The sequence below is a fragment of the Homo sapiens genome, chromosome 1 (genome assembly GCF_000001405.40).
Source record: "Homo sapiens chromosome 1, GRCh38.p14 Primary Assembly".
Lineage (NCBI taxonomy): Eukaryota > Metazoa > Chordata > Mammalia > Primates > Hominidae > Homo > Homo sapiens.
In genome coordinates, this window is record NC_000001.11 from 18,983,747 (window position 1) to 19,001,984 (window position 18,238).

At 45.5% G+C, this 18,238-nt stretch overlaps 1 long non-coding RNA gene across 3 annotated transcripts in view, besides 1 other annotated feature; it reads right to left on the reverse strand.

The window, feature by feature from the left end:
- LOC105376815 (uncharacterized) overlaps positions 1-18,238 on the reverse strand; it is an 83,235-nt gene that overhangs the window by 15,553 nt on the left and 49,444 nt on the right. For 2 of the 3 annotated variants that reach the window (XR_001737918.2, XR_947015.2), the window contains exon 2: positions 13,244-13,313. This is a non-coding gene — a long non-coding RNA (uncharacterized LOC105376815). Of the gene's footprint in view, positions 1-6,116; positions 6,526-13,243; positions 13,314-18,238 lie in introns of those variants that run through there. The other variant, XR_001737919.2, reaches the window with a different exon arrangement.
- Positions 17,455-17,655: a silencer, noted in NCBI's record as "peak97 fragment used in MPRA reporter construct". NCBI's record gives its function as "represses an SCP1 promoter by STARR-seq MPRAs in K562 erythroleukemia cells {active_cell/tissue: K562}" and the evidence as "EXISTENCE:reporter gene assay evidence [ECO:0000049][PMID:32103011]".

Below are 18,238 nucleotides of genomic sequence, written 5' to 3' on the forward strand. Positions count from 1 at the left end.
TTAGAAATTAGGGAAATGCAAGTTTAAAGCCTCCATTTTATGCCAACTTACACCCACCAAGTTGGCAAAAATGTTAAAGTCTGGCAACCTCAAGTGTTGTAAGGGCTGTGGAACAATGCAAGCTCTTATGTATTGCTTAGGGGAGTGTAAATTCATATAAACATTTTGGAAAGCAACATGGTATTGTCCGGTCAAGTTCAAATGCACATAACTTCCTATCCAGAATTTCTATTTCTGTGTACTTCACCTGCAGACCCTTACACACTTGTATCAAGAGATATAACAGATATTGATGAGAGCAATCCTATATCCATCAAGAGGAGAATGGATCCATAATCTGTGGTTTATTAATACAGTACAGGGCCAGGCGCAGTGGCTCATGCCTGTAATCCCAGCACTTTGGAAGGTGGAGGTAGGAGGATTATTTAAGTCCAGGAGTTTGAGACCAGCCTGAGCAACATAGCAAGACCTCATCTTCACAAAATATTTCAAAAATTACCCAGGCATGGTGGCACGTACCTGTAGTCCTAGCTACTCAGGAGGCTGAGGCAGAAAGAGTCCTTGAAGGCAGGAGTTCCAGGCTGCAGTGAGCTATGATCACACCACTGCACTCCAGCCTGGCTGACAGAGCAAGACCCTGTCTCTACACGAACACACAAACAAAAATACAATAAACTACTTCATGGCAGCGAAAATGAATGAATCACAGCTATACTCAACAACGTGAATGAAAAATGTGTAGCAAAAACACACACGCTATAAGAAAACACATATGGTAGAAATTCTCCAAATGAAAAAAATGCGTATGTTACATATGAGACTATTTCTCCAAAGTTCAAAGGCATGCAAAACTAGACAATATATTGTTCAGGAACGCAACTATCTGTGAGGAATCAGTAAAGAAAAGGGCAAAGAAATAATAAACATAAAAATCAAAGCAATCATTACCTCTGGATAAGAGGGAGAGGAGAGCTTGAGGAAGTCATGGGGAAAGATTTCACAAACTTGTAATGTCAGCTCTCCAAAGCTGAATCGCAGGTACATGGATTTATTATTATTATTATTATTATTATTATTATTATTATTATTATTATTTATATGTCACACATATGATATGTTTTATATGGATGGATGTTCTTAATTTTATCAAGGAAGTGATTGTGGGATGAGAGAGCCAATAATGATATCATTATTTCATTGTGTGTGTTAATATACTTAGTATTTGCAGAAAAAGCAGGGACTAGTAGGGAGAAGCAATTGAAGGTCTCAGGGGTGATGGCTGCTTCTGATGCATGTTTGGGTCACACGGAAGGTTGTTGTTATTAATATGCTGTGTGCACTGGACTGAAGAAGCAGAGTGAAGAAAGTTAGATGGAGACTTTGTATAAAGGAGGAGAATTGAGGACTCACTGGAGGAGCTGCCCCTAGACCCACCCTTGGAGCCATGTGCAGACTCCATAGCTTGAGGGCAAGGCTGCTTCAGCCCCAAGGCAACGCCAAAGAGTTTGCTGTCACCTTTTTGGTTCATAGAACCTTTCTATCATGAGGCTTTTTCATTGTCTCTTAAAAATGCCCAGGCGATGGCTCACGCCTGTAATCCCAGCACTTTGGGAGGCCAAGGAGGCAATCAGGTGGGTGGTGGCCTTGAGCTCAGGAGTTCAAAACCAGCCTGGGTAACATGGTAAAACCTCACCTCTACAAAAAAAAAATACAAAAAATTAGCTGGGCATGGTGGTGCATGCCTATGTTCCCAGCTACTCAGGAGGCTGAGGTGGGAGGATCACCTGAGCCCCGGAAGTCAAGGCTGCAGTGAGCGTGATTGCGCCACTACACTCCAGCCTGGGTGACAAAGTGAGACGCTGTCAAAAAACAAACAAACAAACAAACAAACAAAAATGCCTGGCATCTTGTGGATATCTGTGGAAACTCCTGCCTGAGCTCTTGGAGGCAAAGTCTTTGGAGACCCACCCAGAGTCCCTGGCACTCACAGCAGAGGTCAAGGTTAATCTTGATCCTTGATGCTGCTTCCACAGTTTGTCTTGTTGTCATTGAAACCTAAAATCCAGTTCTGGAAGGGACCTCAAAAGACCGCCTGAGCAGCTCTGCCTCTGGAGACCAACTCAGACAGATCTTGATCTCTTCCCTCTCTGAATGTTTCCTGTCGGGGAGAGGCCATTGATTCCCTTAGGAATATTTTCTCCATCTACATCAGAAGTTCCTCTTGAAAAGCTTGAGGCAAAGGGGTTTATTGGGAACATACTGCCTTGTTCAGACTTCAGTGAGCTCCCCATTTGCGGAAGGCATATGGACAATGTCTATCAAAAGCTTTAAAGTGGCTTTAGCCTGGCACACTTTCCTAATAAAACTATCCTAAATGAGCAATGGGACAGCTGTATCAAGATGCATTTCCAAGGCTGTATATAATAAAGGAAATTTTTAAATGAGCTGTGTGTCAACATGAAGGGATTTAAATATATAATATAAATCCAAGCAGCATGATGCAACGCGTTCATTAAGAAAAAAAAGAAAACCTGTCTTGGGAGAATATTTAATGGCATGGAAAGATATCTTCAATATAGCATAAAGCGTTAAAAAAAGCAGATTGTAAGACAGTATATTCAACGGAGTCATATGTTTACTTTTTAAGCATAGAAAAATATAGAAAAGATTTGGAAAGATGTAATAAGATTTTTTTTTTAGACAGGGTCTCTCTGTCATCCAGGCTGGAGTGCAGTAGTGCCATTACTGCTCACTGCAGCCTTGACCTCCCAGGCTTAAGTGATGCTCCTTACTCAGTCTCTAGAGTAGCTGGGACTATAGACGCATGCCACCACACCTGGCTAATTTTTTTGTTTTGTTTTGTTTTGTTTTTTGAGACAGAGTCTTGTACGTCGCCCAGGCTGGACTGCAGTGGCGCAATCTTGGCTCACTGCAACCTCCGCCTCCCAGGCCCAAGCAATTCTCATGCCTCAGCCTCCCAAGTATCTGGGATTATAGGCGTGCACCACCACGCCTGGTTAATTGTCATATTTTTAGTAGAGACAGGGGTTTCACCATGTTGCCCAGGCTGGTCTCGAACTCCCGACCTCCAGTGATCTGCCTGCCTCAGCCTCCCGAAGTGCTGGGATTACAGGCGTGAGTCACCGAGCCAGCCTAATTTTTGTATTTTTAACAGAAACGGGGGTTCGCCATATTACACAGGCTGGTCTCAAATTCCTGAGCTCAAGCGATCCACCTGCCTCGGCCTCCCAAAGTGCTAGGATTACAGGCATGAGCCACCGCACCCAGTCAGTAAGATCTTAACATGATTATCTTCGGGTGTAGTGTTGTGTTTTTTTCCCCTTCGTTTGGCAAGGCTGCATTTTCAAAGGATCAGCAATGAATATATATTAGGTCTAATTTTAACTTTTTCATTGCACAAGTAATGCATGAAGGCAGACTCATGGTGAAATATTCAAACAAAACACAGAAGGTCAGCTTCACCTTTAACCACCCGCTGCCCACCCCAGTACCTGTCCCTCCTCATGTGTGACCACTGTCCCAAGTTTAATGTCATTCCTCTCAGTCCTTCTTCTGTGCATCTCGCTCACTGCCCCCTGCTCACTCCAGGCCAAGCACCCTGGCCCCCCTTCCTATTCCGCATAGATCCCCAGCCCCTTCTTGCCTCGGGTTCTTGCCCAGGTTATTCCCAGGTTAAAGACCCTCCTCTTCCCAGGTTGGCTCCTGCTCCTCTTTCAAGTCTTGGCTTAAATGCCACACTATCTAAAATGAGTCTTCCCTTTCTTGTCCTAATTTTCCATCCTCTGCCTTCATAGCACTTATCAGACCAGAAACACAGAAGTTAATCTGTGTGGTTGTTTCAGGCATTTCAGGTCCATCTTCCCATCAGGCTGGGAGCCCATGAGGGCAGGGCCTTGTCCATCATGTTCTTCTCTGTGTCTTCAGTACCAAATACAGTGCCTGGCACATACTAGATGCTCTGTAAGGACTGATGAATGAATGAATGAAGGAAGGAAGGAAGGAAGGAAGGAAGGAAAGAAGGAAGGAAGGAAGGAAGGAAGGAGGTATCCTCCAGAAAGAGGGAGAAGAGGCAGCCTGGAAACCAGAGAAAAGATACAGAAGTAAGACAGTATGGAGAGGGTTAAGGAAGTCCTTTACCATGGAAGGAGAGCTCAGGGGAAACCCCACCAGGAAGGAGTCCTGGGAGGTGGTGGTGGCCCAGAAATTGCTAAGAAGATGAACATCTATTTTCATCCCCAAACCTTGACCCCAAATCTCAATAAGAAGCCTGTGCTGCTCAAGTGAGTGATGCCTTGAGAAGCAGATAAAGGAAAAATCGAGCTGCTCGTGAGTACACGTCAGGTGGAGAGAAGAGAACAATTGCAGGGCCCGGAGAAACATAAGCCTCTGGGAATCCCTGGGAATCTGGGCCGGGTGGGGACACCACGGGTCTTCATGATAGGGACTCATGGAAGGGAAGGGTGACCCCACAAGTCTAGAGGAATTTGGTGACACCATTTTTCTACCAGATTCATCACCTAAAACTTCAGAGGAAAAGAATATTAGAAAAAAATCAGAAATAAGCCAGGTACAGTGGCTCATGCCTGTAATCCCAACAATTTGGGAGGCCAAGGCGGTGGATCACTCAAGGTCAGAAGTTCGAGACCAGCCTGACCAACATAGTGAAACCCCATCTCTACTAAAAATACAAAAGATTAGCCAGGCGTGGTGGTGCATGCCTGTAATCCCAGTTACTTGGGAGGCTGAGGCAGGAGAATCACTTGAACTGAGGAGGTGGAGGTTGCAGTGAGCCGAGATTGCTCCACTGCCCTCCAGCCTGGGTGAAAGAGTGAGACTCTGTCTCAAAAGGAAAGAAAAGAAAGAAAGAAAGAGAGAGAGAGAGAGAGGGAGGAAAGAAAGAAAGAAAGAAAGAAAGAAAGAAAGAAAGAAAGAAAGAAAGAAAGAAAGAAAGAAAGAAGGAAGGAAGGAAGGGGGGAAGGAAGGAAGGATGGAAGGAAGGAAGGAAGGAAGGAAGAAACAGAAAGAAAAACATCAGAAATAACACAAAAAAGGAGGTGGCTCATTCCTCTTTGTGTGGTGTGGGGGCAGGGTGTGCATGGAACAAGCCTGGGCTTTGGACTCAGGTAAGTTTTGGGTTCGAATCCCAGATCTTCCTTCTCATCTTCACTTCCTCATATGGAGAGTGGGCATGATAGCCATTATTGACATCGGATGTTGACAGATGACATGAGATAATAAACCTCTAAAGCACTAGCTGGCATGCCTTTGGCCTCCCTCACAGTGGGTGGAGAGAAGGGAAGATACAGGCCAGTGCAAACAGTGGGGGACCTTGTGTGTCTGTGTGTGTGCAGGGCCAGCTTCTCCGACGTGTGTCCTGTGCAGCCACCCGGGGCCCATTAGAAGGCCCCTGTGCTTGTCTAAACAATCTACTGTCGCGGCCTTAAAATTCTTAACTTTTGATCAAGGGACTTTGCATTTTCATTTTGTCCTGGGCTCTGCAAATTAAATTTTATAACTGGCGATGCACACGTGTGTGTGGGAGCGTGCAAGTGTGTACATGTGTGAAGGAGGGGGAGAGGGATGCTGCAATGGGTGCTCCATGAAGGGATGTTACTGACAGCAACTGCACCCCAGCAAGTACCCACCCCACAGTCCTGAGCCAACACCACACACCAATAAGCTGAGGCTTTGCCTGACAATAGCCCCTCTCAGTTCCAATCAACAACAAAAACAAACCCTCCTAGCCTTTGGGCTGTTACCCAAACACCACACACCCACAGGCCGAGGCCCAGCAGCTCCACATGTGGGCTCCCCACGGATTTTCCCAAGGTCCCTTCCAGCTGGTTCCGCCAGCCCAGGAGGCTGCTTGCTGGGGTTTTCATACACTAGGCATGCAATCTGCTCACTCCCACAGCACTTCTGCACGGCTCTGTATCAGACCCCACGCCACCCTCTGCACACCCTAAGTGAGGGGCTGACCACTCTGCCCTCCCTGGACCAGAGGTGAGCTGCCCGAGGACCAGAGCTGGGCTGTCTTCATCTCCGTATCTTTAAGGCCAGGTGCAGGGCTGGAAACACAGTAGGTGCTCAATAGATGCTTGCTAAAGTCGTTTATGCACTCTTTCCACACATATGTATATCATCCAGTGGTGGAGAATGGTCACAGGCAAGATTCACATAAAATAAAGAAACGCTAAGAAGTTTACTGTCTGAGCAGGAATATGTTGTTAGGCTGTGCCTTCTGACTCCACTGCTGAAACTGCTGCTTCTTGGGTCGCTGCTTGCTGTCCTGATGAAAATAGGGCAGGCAGTGAAGTGGAGCGGAACAGCTGTGATGGAGTCAGGGGACCTGGGTCCTGGTCCCACTCAGCTCAGTGACCTTGGGCAGACCACGCCCTCCTTGGACCTCGGTTGCCCGTGGGTCAGGTGAACGTGTTGGAGGCAGGGCTGCACTATCCAATCCGGTAGCTGCTCGCTTCAAATGTGGCTGGTGACCCTCAGGAACTGAATTGGAAACTTCATTTATTTTTAATTAATTTAAATTTAAAACCAGATACAAGCTTCAGACAGGAGAATTTTTTTTTTTTTAAGACAGAATCTTGGTCTGTTACCCAGGCTGGAGTGCGGTGGTGCAATCTCAGCTCACTGCAACCTCCGCCTCCCAAGTTCAAACAATTCTTCTGCCTCAGCCTCTCAAGTAGCTGGGACTACAGGCACGTGCCACCAAGCCCAGCTAATTTTTGTATTTTTAGTAAAGACAGGGTTTCACCATGTTGGCCAGGCTGGTCTCAATCTCCTGACCTCAAGTGATCCGCACCCCCTTGGTCTCCCAAAGTGCTAGGATTACAAGCGTGAGCCACCGCACCTGGCCAAATTTTTAAGTGCATTTGGAATAACTTACATACATGAACCTATCATTCTCAACTGTAAATGTAATAAAATCTGAACACAGATCAAGTATGTCGCAGCCTGGCAACATAGGGAGACACTGTCTCTACAAAAAATAAATTAGCCAGGGGTGGTGGGGTGCACCTGTAGTCCCAGCTACTAGGGAGGTTAAAGTGAAAGGATGGTTTGAGTCCAGGAGGTCAAGGCTGTGGTGAGTTGTGATCATGCCACTGCACTCCAGCCTGGGCAAAAGAGCAAGGCCCTGTCTCAAAATAAAAGAAGTATTTTCTGAGAAAAATGTAGCATTGGGACTAAGATATGCTGTAAGCGTAACAGATTTTGAAGACTTATTTGAAAAAAAAGGTAATACTTTATATTGGTTACATATTGAAATTATAATATTTTAGACAGAATGGGTTACATAAAATTTATTATTAAGATTAATTTCACTTGTTTCTCTTCTTCATTTCTAGTATGGGTACTAGAAAATTGAAAATTACCTATGTGCGGCCGGGCGCGGTGGCTCACGCCTGTAATCCCAGCACTTTGAGGGGCCGAGGCAGGTGGATCACGAGGTCAGGAATTCAAGACCAGCCTGGCCTGGCCAAGATGGTGAAGCCCTGTCTCTACCAAAAATAAAAAAATTAGCCAGGCACGGTGGCAGGCGCCTGTAATCCCAGCTACTAGGGAGGCTGAGGCAGGAGAATCGCTTGAAGCTGGGAGGCAGAGGTTGCAGTGAGCCGAGATCGTGCCACTGCACTCTGGCCTGGTGACAGAGTGAGACTCTTATCTAAAAAAAAAAAAAAAAAAAAAAAAAAAGGAAAGAAAAAAAAGAAAGTTACCTATGTGCTTCATATTCTACTGCCATTGAACTTCACTAGATTAAGGAATCTCTTAAGGTACTTCCTTTTTATTTTTGTTATTCTGATACTCTACAAATCTACCAGGAATCATTAACTTCTGTGGGTTTGCCTATCTGCCATCATACCCTTCCTCATCCCTTTCTTATGTTGGCACCTTGATTTTCCAAAGGAAAATTGCCTCTGTAAAATCTTCACCCCAGCTATAGGGAAGGGCATATGGCCCAGGCCTGGCCAATCAGAGCAGAGCACTCTCCTTTGACCATCATGATTGGTTCAGAAATGACACGTGACCAGCAGGCACAGCCAATGAGACTTCATTTGATTGAAAGTTTGGAAATGAGTTTGGCTTTTCCGCTGGAGTTGTTAAGGAAGGGATGGAGCCCCAGACCTAGAGGGGGCCATCTTGCCGCCATGAGTGAGCAGCCTGCCTGAGAAGGAAACCACTGCAGAGAAGAGGAAAACCAAGAGTGAAGAGAGTCATGACCGGCCCCACTTTCTCTTCTGGCATTTTCACATGGCCCTCCCACACCACCTTGCCCGCTACCTCCCAGAACCTGGCAAACTCTTCATCCTTCCAGCTTCAGCTGCCCTTGTCAAGGTCACCAGTGACCTCTATGTTGCCAGATCCAGGGGTCACTTCTCTGTCTAGCTCCTGCATAACTTCTTGACAACATTCAACATAATTGGCCATTCCCACCCTCTTGAAAGCTTTCTCCCTCTCTTGGCTTCCATGATGCCTTATGCTCCTCCTCCTACCTCATTGGCCACTTCTCAGTATCTTCTTTCATTTATGTGTTCTTTCTGCAAGTATTTACTAAGAGGCTTCTATGTGCCAAGCCTTATGCTGTGTAGTAGGCAGTCAACAGAGCAAAACTCCTGCCCTCAGAGAGTGACATTCTGGGGCAAGTCTTCTTTATTGATTCTCCACTTCTGCTCAGCCTCGAAATATTGTCATGTACTGAGGCTCCACTGAGAACCCCAGGCCTTTTCCATCTTATCCTATCTCGTGGCTTTAAATTCCATCCACATATCAATGACTCCCAAATGTCTATCCGTAGCCCTGGCTGGGGCCCTGAACTCCAGACTCATAGATCCAACTGGCTACTTGACTTAACCACTGGATTATCAACAGGCTGTCTCAGCTTAATGTGTTCAAAACATAACTATTGATTCCTCTATTGCCAGCCTCAACCTGTTTCTCCACTTGTCATCCTCCATCCCAGTCAATGGTATCACATCCACCCAGTTGCTCAGGCCAAAAACCAAGAGTCATCCTGATTCTTATCTGTTCTCCTCACCCACTTCCCATCCGTCAGCAAGTGCTGACAGCTCTGCCTCCAAAACGGACCCTGGAACTGTCACTTTTCCCTATTTCCGCTCCCATCACCCTAGTCCAAGCCACCATCATTGCTCCCTGGGCCACTATCATGACCTCCAAACTGCTTTCCCCTCTTCCATTCATGCCCACCCCTCCCTTCAATTCTTCATATCATAGCCAGAGTGATCTTTTAACCATGTAAATCAGGTGTCACTCGTCTCCTTAAAACCTTCCAGTAAAGAGCGTGGACTATTTACAACATGTATAAAAGACAATGGATTCATAATTTGAATATATAAACAACTCTCACAAATCGATTAGAAAAAGACAACCTTTTAGAAAACTGGGCAAGGGATATACACTGACAATTCACAAGAGAAGAAATTCCAAGAGCCAATAAATATAAAATTACATGTTTAACCACGCTAGTAATCAGGGAAATACAAATGAAAACGAGTTACCATTTTATATCCAAAACATTGTCAAACATTTTAAAGGCTGACTCTACCAACTGTTGGCAAGGATATAAAGAAATGGGATCTTTTGGATGCTGCCAGTGGGAATATAAATTAGTATGACAACTTTGAAGAGCTGAGTGACAACTTCTCATAATGTTGAACATCTGCACACTCTGCAACCTATTAATTTTCCATTTCAGAATCAGTTGTAATGGTAAAAAACAAAGTATGACCTCAGCATCTATCAATATGAGAATGGATGAATAAAATATGATGTGTGTGTGCCATATAATTCTATATAGTAGGTAAAAAGAAATTAACTAATTTAAAATTATACCTATAAAACACTGTCAGATGAAAAGAGGTGGGCCATCAAAAGACAGGAGGTGCACACTGCTTCCATTTGTGCAAATTTAAAATTCTAAACTTAAAAAAGAAAAATAGCCAAGTGCGGTGGCTCACGCCTGTAATCCCAACACTTCGGGAGGCTGAGGCAGGTGGATCACTTGAAATCAGGAGTTCAAGACCAGCCTGGCTAATAGGGTGAAACCCTGTCTCTACTAAAAATACAAAAATTAGCTGGATGTGGTTGTGCATTCCTGTCCCAGCTACTTGGGAGGCTGAAGCAGGAGAATCACTTGAACCCAGAAGGTGGAGGTTGCAGTGAGCTGAGATCCCACAACTGCACTCCAGCCTGGGTGACAGAATGAGACTCTGTCTCAAAAGAAAAAAAGAAAAAAGAGGGAAAATGGCTTCTTTTTATGCTTGGGGTAAAATCCTAACTTCCTGCCCTGGGGCACAAGGTCTTTGCCTATCTCTCTAACTCCATCTTATCCCATCCCCTAAGCTCTGGCCACACTGGCCTTTCAAACATCCTTTAGTACAGCATTTTCATGCCCATCATCGGGCCTTTCCTTGAACCTCACTGCCTCTGCCTGGCATTTAACCTTGATCTTCCCCTAAGCCTCTCCATCACCTCCAGACATTCTCGTGTTTGTCCATCTATTTCCTTGTTCATTTCCTTGTTTACCCCCAGTAGATAGTAAGCGTCAGAAAAATGGGAATGCTGCCTTTCCTTTTCAGTGGTGTATCCTCAAGGGATGGCATTTAGTAGGCCCTCAATAATCGCTTGTTGAATGAATAGATGTGACTTCCTTCAAGAAGTCTTTCCCGAATTCATAGGCTAAGAAACATTTCCCCAAATCTGCACTCCTACAGCCTCCTGGCTTGGCTTTCTCAGCAATTTTCCCACTACGATTCAGGAACTCTTTTTCTGAGAAGGAGTCTTGCTCTGTCATCCAGGCTGGAGTGCAGTGGCACGATCTCAGCTCACTGCAACTTCCGCTTCCCTGATTTAAGCAATTCTACCACCTCAGCCTCCTGATTTGGTGGGATTACAGGCATACACCACCATACCTGGCTAATTGTTGTATTTTTAGTGGAGATGGGGTTTCACCATGTTTGTCAGGCTGGTCTCGAGCTCCTGACCTCAAGTGATCCACCTTCCTCGGCCTCCCAAAGTGCTGGGATTACAGGCGTGAGCCACCGCACCTGGCCTAATTCAGGAACCCTTAATCTGGGGTTCTCAAATAGATGTCTGGGGAGCCCATAAACATTCTAAACTCATAGGCAGAATTTCATGTGCATGTGCTTATTACCTCTTCTGGGGCCAGGGTTCTCAGTTTGCATCATTTTCTTAAAGGCATCTATGACACAAACACATGAAATCATTTTTGTAACACTATCCTCTTTCCATTTGGGTTATAACTGGACCAGGTTCTCCAGACCGTAGGCTGCTCCAGAGCTGGAATCTGCTGAGTCCACCACTGTTTCCCAAAATGCTAGTGGAGGGCCTGCCATGTGATAGGTGAATCTCAGTGAAATCTTGAATGAATGACAAATGAATGAGTGAGTGAATGAATGCATGCATGCTTTTGGAGCCTGGAAACCAGGCCCATATTCACTCTCAGATCCCTTGGGTGCCTGAGATGTCAGACATTGGAACAGACAGGGAAAAGAAAGCTGGCCTCAGAGCAAGGAAGGCTAAGCGCTCGGCTCCCCAAGAGACCAACAGGGCCCTGGAGGGGGCTCCCCTCTTGCTCATCCTGAGCCCAAGGCTACAGGTCAGGATCCGTTACTGCTACACCGCTCAGGGAGTGCCTACCTCCTCCTCCTCCTCCTCCCTCCACCTCTCCCGGGAAGGAAGGCTGCAGCCTCCTCAAAGATGGCTTTGGTAGCAGGGGTGTTGCCCCCGAGATCAGTGCAATCACCAAGCTCAGACAGCCCCATGGAAACCCCACAACAAGGCACCCAAACAGAGACCAAACCCATCCCAGGAAACTCAAGGGGCGAGGAGAGGTATCTACTCCACCAGTGACTTAGGAATCTAGAAATTCCGGTGGGGCCAACTGAGCAAGGGGTGCGGGACACCCAGCCTCATTCCATAGAAAGAAATCCCAGGCTCCAAGATGAGTCCCCGTTTTCCATGTGGCCAGAGTCTTTGTCCAAGGCCGCAGAATCCTACCCACATTCTTTATGGGGCAGGGGCAGGGGGTGAGGGGCTCTTCCACCCAGAGAGTAGTTGTTCCCCAACCTTTTTATTCACTCTCAAAATGTATAGATTTATGTATCTATAAGTTATAGAAAAATTCCATTTTTAAATATGTATGCACATAAAAACCAAAGCTCATCTTGCATACCCTCAGCAGCACACACCTCCCTGAGAAGTTTATGAAGGAAGTCTAAGCTCCTTCATGGCTGGGCCCGCAGGTATCACGAGGAATATTTAATACCACTGGCCACCATTGATTGAGGTCTACCATGTGCCAGGGTTTGTGCTACATGATCTACATTTTTAACAATTGAATCCTCACAATACCTATGAGCCCCATCTGACAGAAGAGGAAACTGAGGCAGGGCAGGCCAAGTGACTTACCAAAGTCCCCTTGGCCAACAAGTGGCAGAGCTGAGATTCAACACAGCTCATCTGATTCCTGTGACCTTAACCTCCACTTTACAGGCATCATTTATAGAGTCCAAACTCAGACACTTGGGGCTGCCCCGATTTAGATTCAGTCCTCACAGAAACCCTGGCAGGGGATCACCATTGCTTTTCACATCTTACAGAGGAGCAGAGACTCAGAAAGGCTAAGTAATCTGCCCTAGGTCACACAGAGAGGTAAGTAATGGCAGAGACCCACACCTATCCGATTCCAACATTCTCCTATGAGGACTGTTTTCCCAGGCAGGACTGAAGTCTGGGTCAGTTTGGCCACTTCCACCCACTACCCCCATCTCTGAGTCCAGAGTACAGTAAGTTCTTCTCTAGGTTGAATTTCTCAGACACAAACAAGCATCTAAAACAGTGACTGGCAAATAGTCAGAGCTTGATGAATGATGATGAATGAATGAATGAATGAATGAATGAATGAATGAAAGAGTGAACTACAGAACATAGAGATGAATGGATGAATGAATTTCCCCTGATCACATTCTGTCCTCTCAGAAAGAAAGAGTCTGTGATTCCTACCATGAGAGGCAGATCTGGGTGCCCACCAACACTTCCACAATATCTGGACACCACCTAAGAGGTGTGGTCTAGGATGTGGGCTCACCACGTGTGTTTCTGGAGAACAAGCCCCGTTGTTTCCGCAACAATAACCCACCCTTGGTCCACAGAGCCTGTTTTTACTCACGTTTTCACGGGCTTCTCCCCACGGCTATGGTGAAGTAGGCACTACCCTCCCATTTTACAGGTTGAAGAGCCTGCAACATAGAGAGGGGAAGTGAATTGCCCAAGGTCACACAGGAAATGGGTGGCAGAGTCAGGGGCTTACCTATTCTTCTCACTTTCTCCTTCAGCCTACTTCTGTGTATTGGGATCTAACCTTAAGTCACCATGGTTCAGGGATGGAATCGTTAGGGGTTTGTCCCAAATCCACAGGTCAGGAAACAGCATCCTACTCCTCATTTAGGCAGAAATAACATGGAAATAAACACACGGCAAGGGATCCCAGCTAGGCAGCACAGCCAGGTCCAGAGACCTCCAGAGAGCCACAGGGTGTGTCCCAGGCAGAGTCAGGCTAGGAACCAGGAAGAATCAGGGGCATCACCCAGGGATGGCAAAACAGGCACAACCCAGTAAGAAGTAGACCCAAGAACCTTGGCAAGCAGAATCAGCAATGGGCTCTTCCTCTGCCCTCCTGCTCACCCCTCCTGGTGGGGCACAGTATCACTAAAGAAGCCACATGCCGGATGATGGGCTGGGAGGGCAGAACCTTTCCCTAGAATGGGCATGGTGCTGCGGTGCCTGGCCCTGCTGCCAGCCCAACCCAGCCCGGCCCGCACCAGACAACCAAGCACAATGGCTCTCTCAGGCAGGCAGACAATTCAACCCTTTCAGGCCAAGGGCAGCCGGGCTGGCATTCCCTGCACCTCTGTTTCTCTCTGCCTCCTGTAAGTGAATCACTCAGAATTAATGACCCTGGGAACAATGAATGGGGAGCAGGTTTGGGTTCTTCTTGAGCAGACAGAAGACTGGATCCTAGGAATACCCATTCCATGGCCACTGATGAAGACCAGAGCAGTGGATGCTCCAGGGTCACGGAGGCATGCTGCAGGGTGCACAGAATCATTACTGACTGTGGTCATCCGAACCATAGAGTGTGAGGGCCGCAGCCTCATGGATTGTTTGAGCCACAGATTGTTCTAGTCACAGAGCCACAGAAATCCAGTGTCTCAGAACCATCAATTACTAGCATCCTAGAATCAGTAGCTCAAGGAACCACAGGCTTCCAGGACCATCAATCATCAGTTGCCAGAACTCAGCTGTTTAGGGTGGGAAAAGAGCCTTAGAGACCATCCTGTCTGAGGCTTCATTCTGCAGTTAGGGGAACCCAGTCAGCTGATCAAGGTCACAAAGCTAGGACTAGTGGCCAGGCCTTGCTACTCCCTGTCCTCACTCCATTCTAAAGAAGGGCGCAGGAGCGGCAGCAGCCTCAGCTCGTGGACGCTAGGCTCCTCGGAGGTTGGTCTGGTCCCCCCGTAGAAGATTATCTGACACTGTCAGGGCACTTGTGGTCAAGCCCTTCCACTGCATCAAAACCAGAGGCTTCGTGGATTCTAATGTGAGGATGATGTGTTTTGCAAGTCTGGACAGGCCTGGATTCTTTTAACCAATCCTCCACTTCCTCGCCTAATAAGGGAGAATCATGCACCCTTGTGATTTTACCTGGGGCTCTGCCTACTGGTGATTACACAGGAGAGCGAGCCAGTCCTCCTGGGTTTCAGCTTGAGATACCCATTGCCTCATCAGGGTCACTTCAGTTCACTGCTAAGCCACAGAAGGAAATCCAACCTCACTTTCTAAAGGCCTATCACATGCTAGGTTCAAGAAAGTTACTAATACTAAGAAGAGAGAGACCCCATCCCCACCTTTGAGCCCCTTAGAGTCCACTGAGACAGTCAGATATGTATGTGATTATATTAATATGTCAAAGCAGAATGTGATGGTAATACACACAGAAGAGACAGAAATTAAGAAAAGCTTCATGAGAGAGGGGCATCATTTAAATGGAGTCATTCAATGGCTTTTCTACATATCAGTTCCTGACTTCTGCTTCTGGCTGTGATGGAGTAACAAGGACTGGACTTACCTTCCCACCCTAAGCAACTAAAAAACTGAACAAAACCAGCCAGGCGCGGTGGCTCACGCCTGTAATCCCAACACTCTGAGAGGCTGAGGTGGGCAGATCACCTGAGGTCAGGAGTTGGAGACCAGCCTGGCTAACATGGTGAAACCCCGTTTCTACTAAAAATACAAAAAAAAATTGGGGGGGCATGGTGGCACATGCCTGTAATCTCAGCTACTTGGAGGCTGAGGTATGAGAATCATTTGAACCAGAGAGGTGGAGGTTGCAGTGAGCTGAGATTGTGCCACTGCACTCCAGCCTGGGTGACAAGAGTAAAACTCTGTCTCAAAAAGAAAACAAAACAAAACAAACAAACAAAAAAACAGTCCATGAAATAACTTTTTTCAATCATTGAAAAACAGGAATGACTTAATGTGACTCCTAAGAGAAGATAAACAAATGAAAGGAGCCCTATGTTTGCCTTGGTTTTCTTCCTGAAGTTATATTCCAGATCATGGCTTGGGGCGAGGCATACCAAGCAGAATATAGTACTCTTGCAGAACTGAGGATTTGGAGACTGGAATTCAGGGATTCAGCCAGAAGTTGCGTGGCACAGTTCCAGAAAGGAAAACACTATGCAGAAAATAAACTCCAGAAATCTGCATGGGATGTTTTTGAGTTGTTTCTGAGTCCTAGGTCACACATACATGGGATCAAACCCTATGAGACTGGGCAAAGAACAGCTGGAAAGTTGCAAGCTGAACAATTTCCAGAGTTGGCACAGACCAGGAGACACTGCAGTCATTTAGAGTGGTTAGAACTCATTGAAAACCCAGTCAAGGCTGGGCATGGTAGCTCACACCTATAATCCTAGCACTTTGGGAGGCCAAGGATGAAGGATCACTTGAGCCCAGGAGCTTGAGACCAGCCTGGGCAACATAGTAAGACCCTGTCTCTATTAAAAAAAAGAAGAAGAAGGAGAAGAAGGAGGAGAAGAAGAAGAAGGAGAAGAAGAAGGAGAAGATGGAGAAGAAGAAGAAGAAGAAGAAGAGGAAGAAGAAGAAGAAGAAGAAGAAGAAGAAGAAGAAGAAGAAGAAGAAGAAGAAGAAGAAGAAGAAGAAGGAGGAGGAGGAGGAGGAGGAGGAGGAGGAAAGGGGAGGGGGAGGGGAGCGGGAGGAGAAGGAGGAGATGGAAGAGATGGAGGAGAAGGAGAAGAAAAAACCTATTCAGCAGAGAATCCATAGAGGTCAGGCCTTAGCCACAAGCTGAGCTATCCCTAGCATGAAGGCCAGTTCAGACCAGCCATACCAAAGCTTAAAAACAGGCTTCAAAGGGCTCACACTGACTTGCAAATAACTTAGGTGCCTGTTAGAACAAAGCCCAGCATTCTTTTAAAGGAAGGCAACAGAATTGAGACTCTCAACAATGTAACATTCACAAAATCTAGCATCCGGTCAAAACTTACTATATATACCAAGAAGCAGAAAAATGTGACCCATGGTCAGAAGAAAAATGAGTCAATAGAAGTGTACCCAGAAATAACAGAAATGATGGAACTAGTACACAAATATGTCAAAATAGTTATCACAAGTATGTTGAAGTATTTATGGGAAAAGATCATCATAATGAGAAGGAAAATTGAAAATATAAAAAAGAATTAAGTGAAATTTCTAGAGGGGAAAAAAATATAAGTCTAAAATGAAAAATTCATTAAATGGAATTCCCAGGAAATCAGACACTGCAGAAGAAAAGCTCATTGGCCCTGTAGTTATAGCAATAGAATTTATCTAAAGTGAGGCACAGAGAGAATAAAAAAGCCTGGAGGGAAAAATGAGCAGAGCTTAGTGACCTGAAATAAGACATTAAATGGTTTAACATATATGTAATTGAAATTCAAGAAGGAGAGGGGAAGAGAAAGTAACAGGAAATATATTTGAAGAAATAATGGCTGGAAATATTCTAAATTTGATAAAAACAATAAACCCACAGATCCCAGAAGCTCAACAAACCCCAATCAGAATAAACATAAAACTCCACACCAAAGTATATCAAGCTCTGCCTCCCGGGTTCATGCCATTCTCCTGCCTCAGCCTCCCAAGTAGCTGGGACTACAGGCGCCCACCACCAGGCCCAGCTAATTTTTTGTATTTTTAGTAGAGACAGGGTTTCACCGTGTTAGCCAGGATGTTCTCCATCTCCTGACCTCGTGATCCACCTGCCTCGGCCTCCCAAAGTGCTGGGATTACAGGCGTGAGCCACCACACTCAGCTAGAAAATCTTAAGAGTACACAGGAAAAAAAGACATGTTACATATGGAGAAATTATGACAAAAATTCACAGATTTCTCATCAAAAACTATGCAAGCCAGAAGACAATGGAACCTCTGTAAAGTGTTGAAAAAAAAAACTGTCAACCTAGCATTCTACATCCAGCAAAAATACCCTTTAAAAAAAAAAAAGAGAGAGAGACAGAGAAATAAAAACTCTTTCAGGAAAACAAAAGCTGAGAGAATTTGTCACCAGCAGACCTGCACTACAGGAAATGGTAAAGGAAATTTTTCAAGTGAAAGATAAATGATACTGGGTGGAAACATGAATCAACACAAAGGGCTAAAGAGTGCCAGAGATGGGAAACATGTCAGTAGATGTAAAAGGTTTCTCCCTCATTTTTCAACTTCTTAAAAATATACCTATTTAAAGCAAAAATAATATCAGTGTATGGGGGTTTATAAGGTACATAAAAGCAAAATATATTACAACAATATCACACAAAATAGAATGGGGAATGGAAGTATTTCTAAGTTTCTTACAACATCTGTTGTAGTTTATTTTTGTTGTGTCAATTAAGCTTAGCTACATTTCTTAGAATTCCTTTCTCTGTATAGTTTTGAATGAGCATGGATCACTAGAGACATTCACACAACATTTGCAAGGTAGAGCAAAGCAGTAGCAGCTTACATTTTGTTTTTGTTTTTGTTTTTTTTTAATCTCAGAAAGCTGGGGCAGGGACACCAGGTGCTGTTGCAGCTCACATATACTGGCACTTAACTGCTGGGTCACC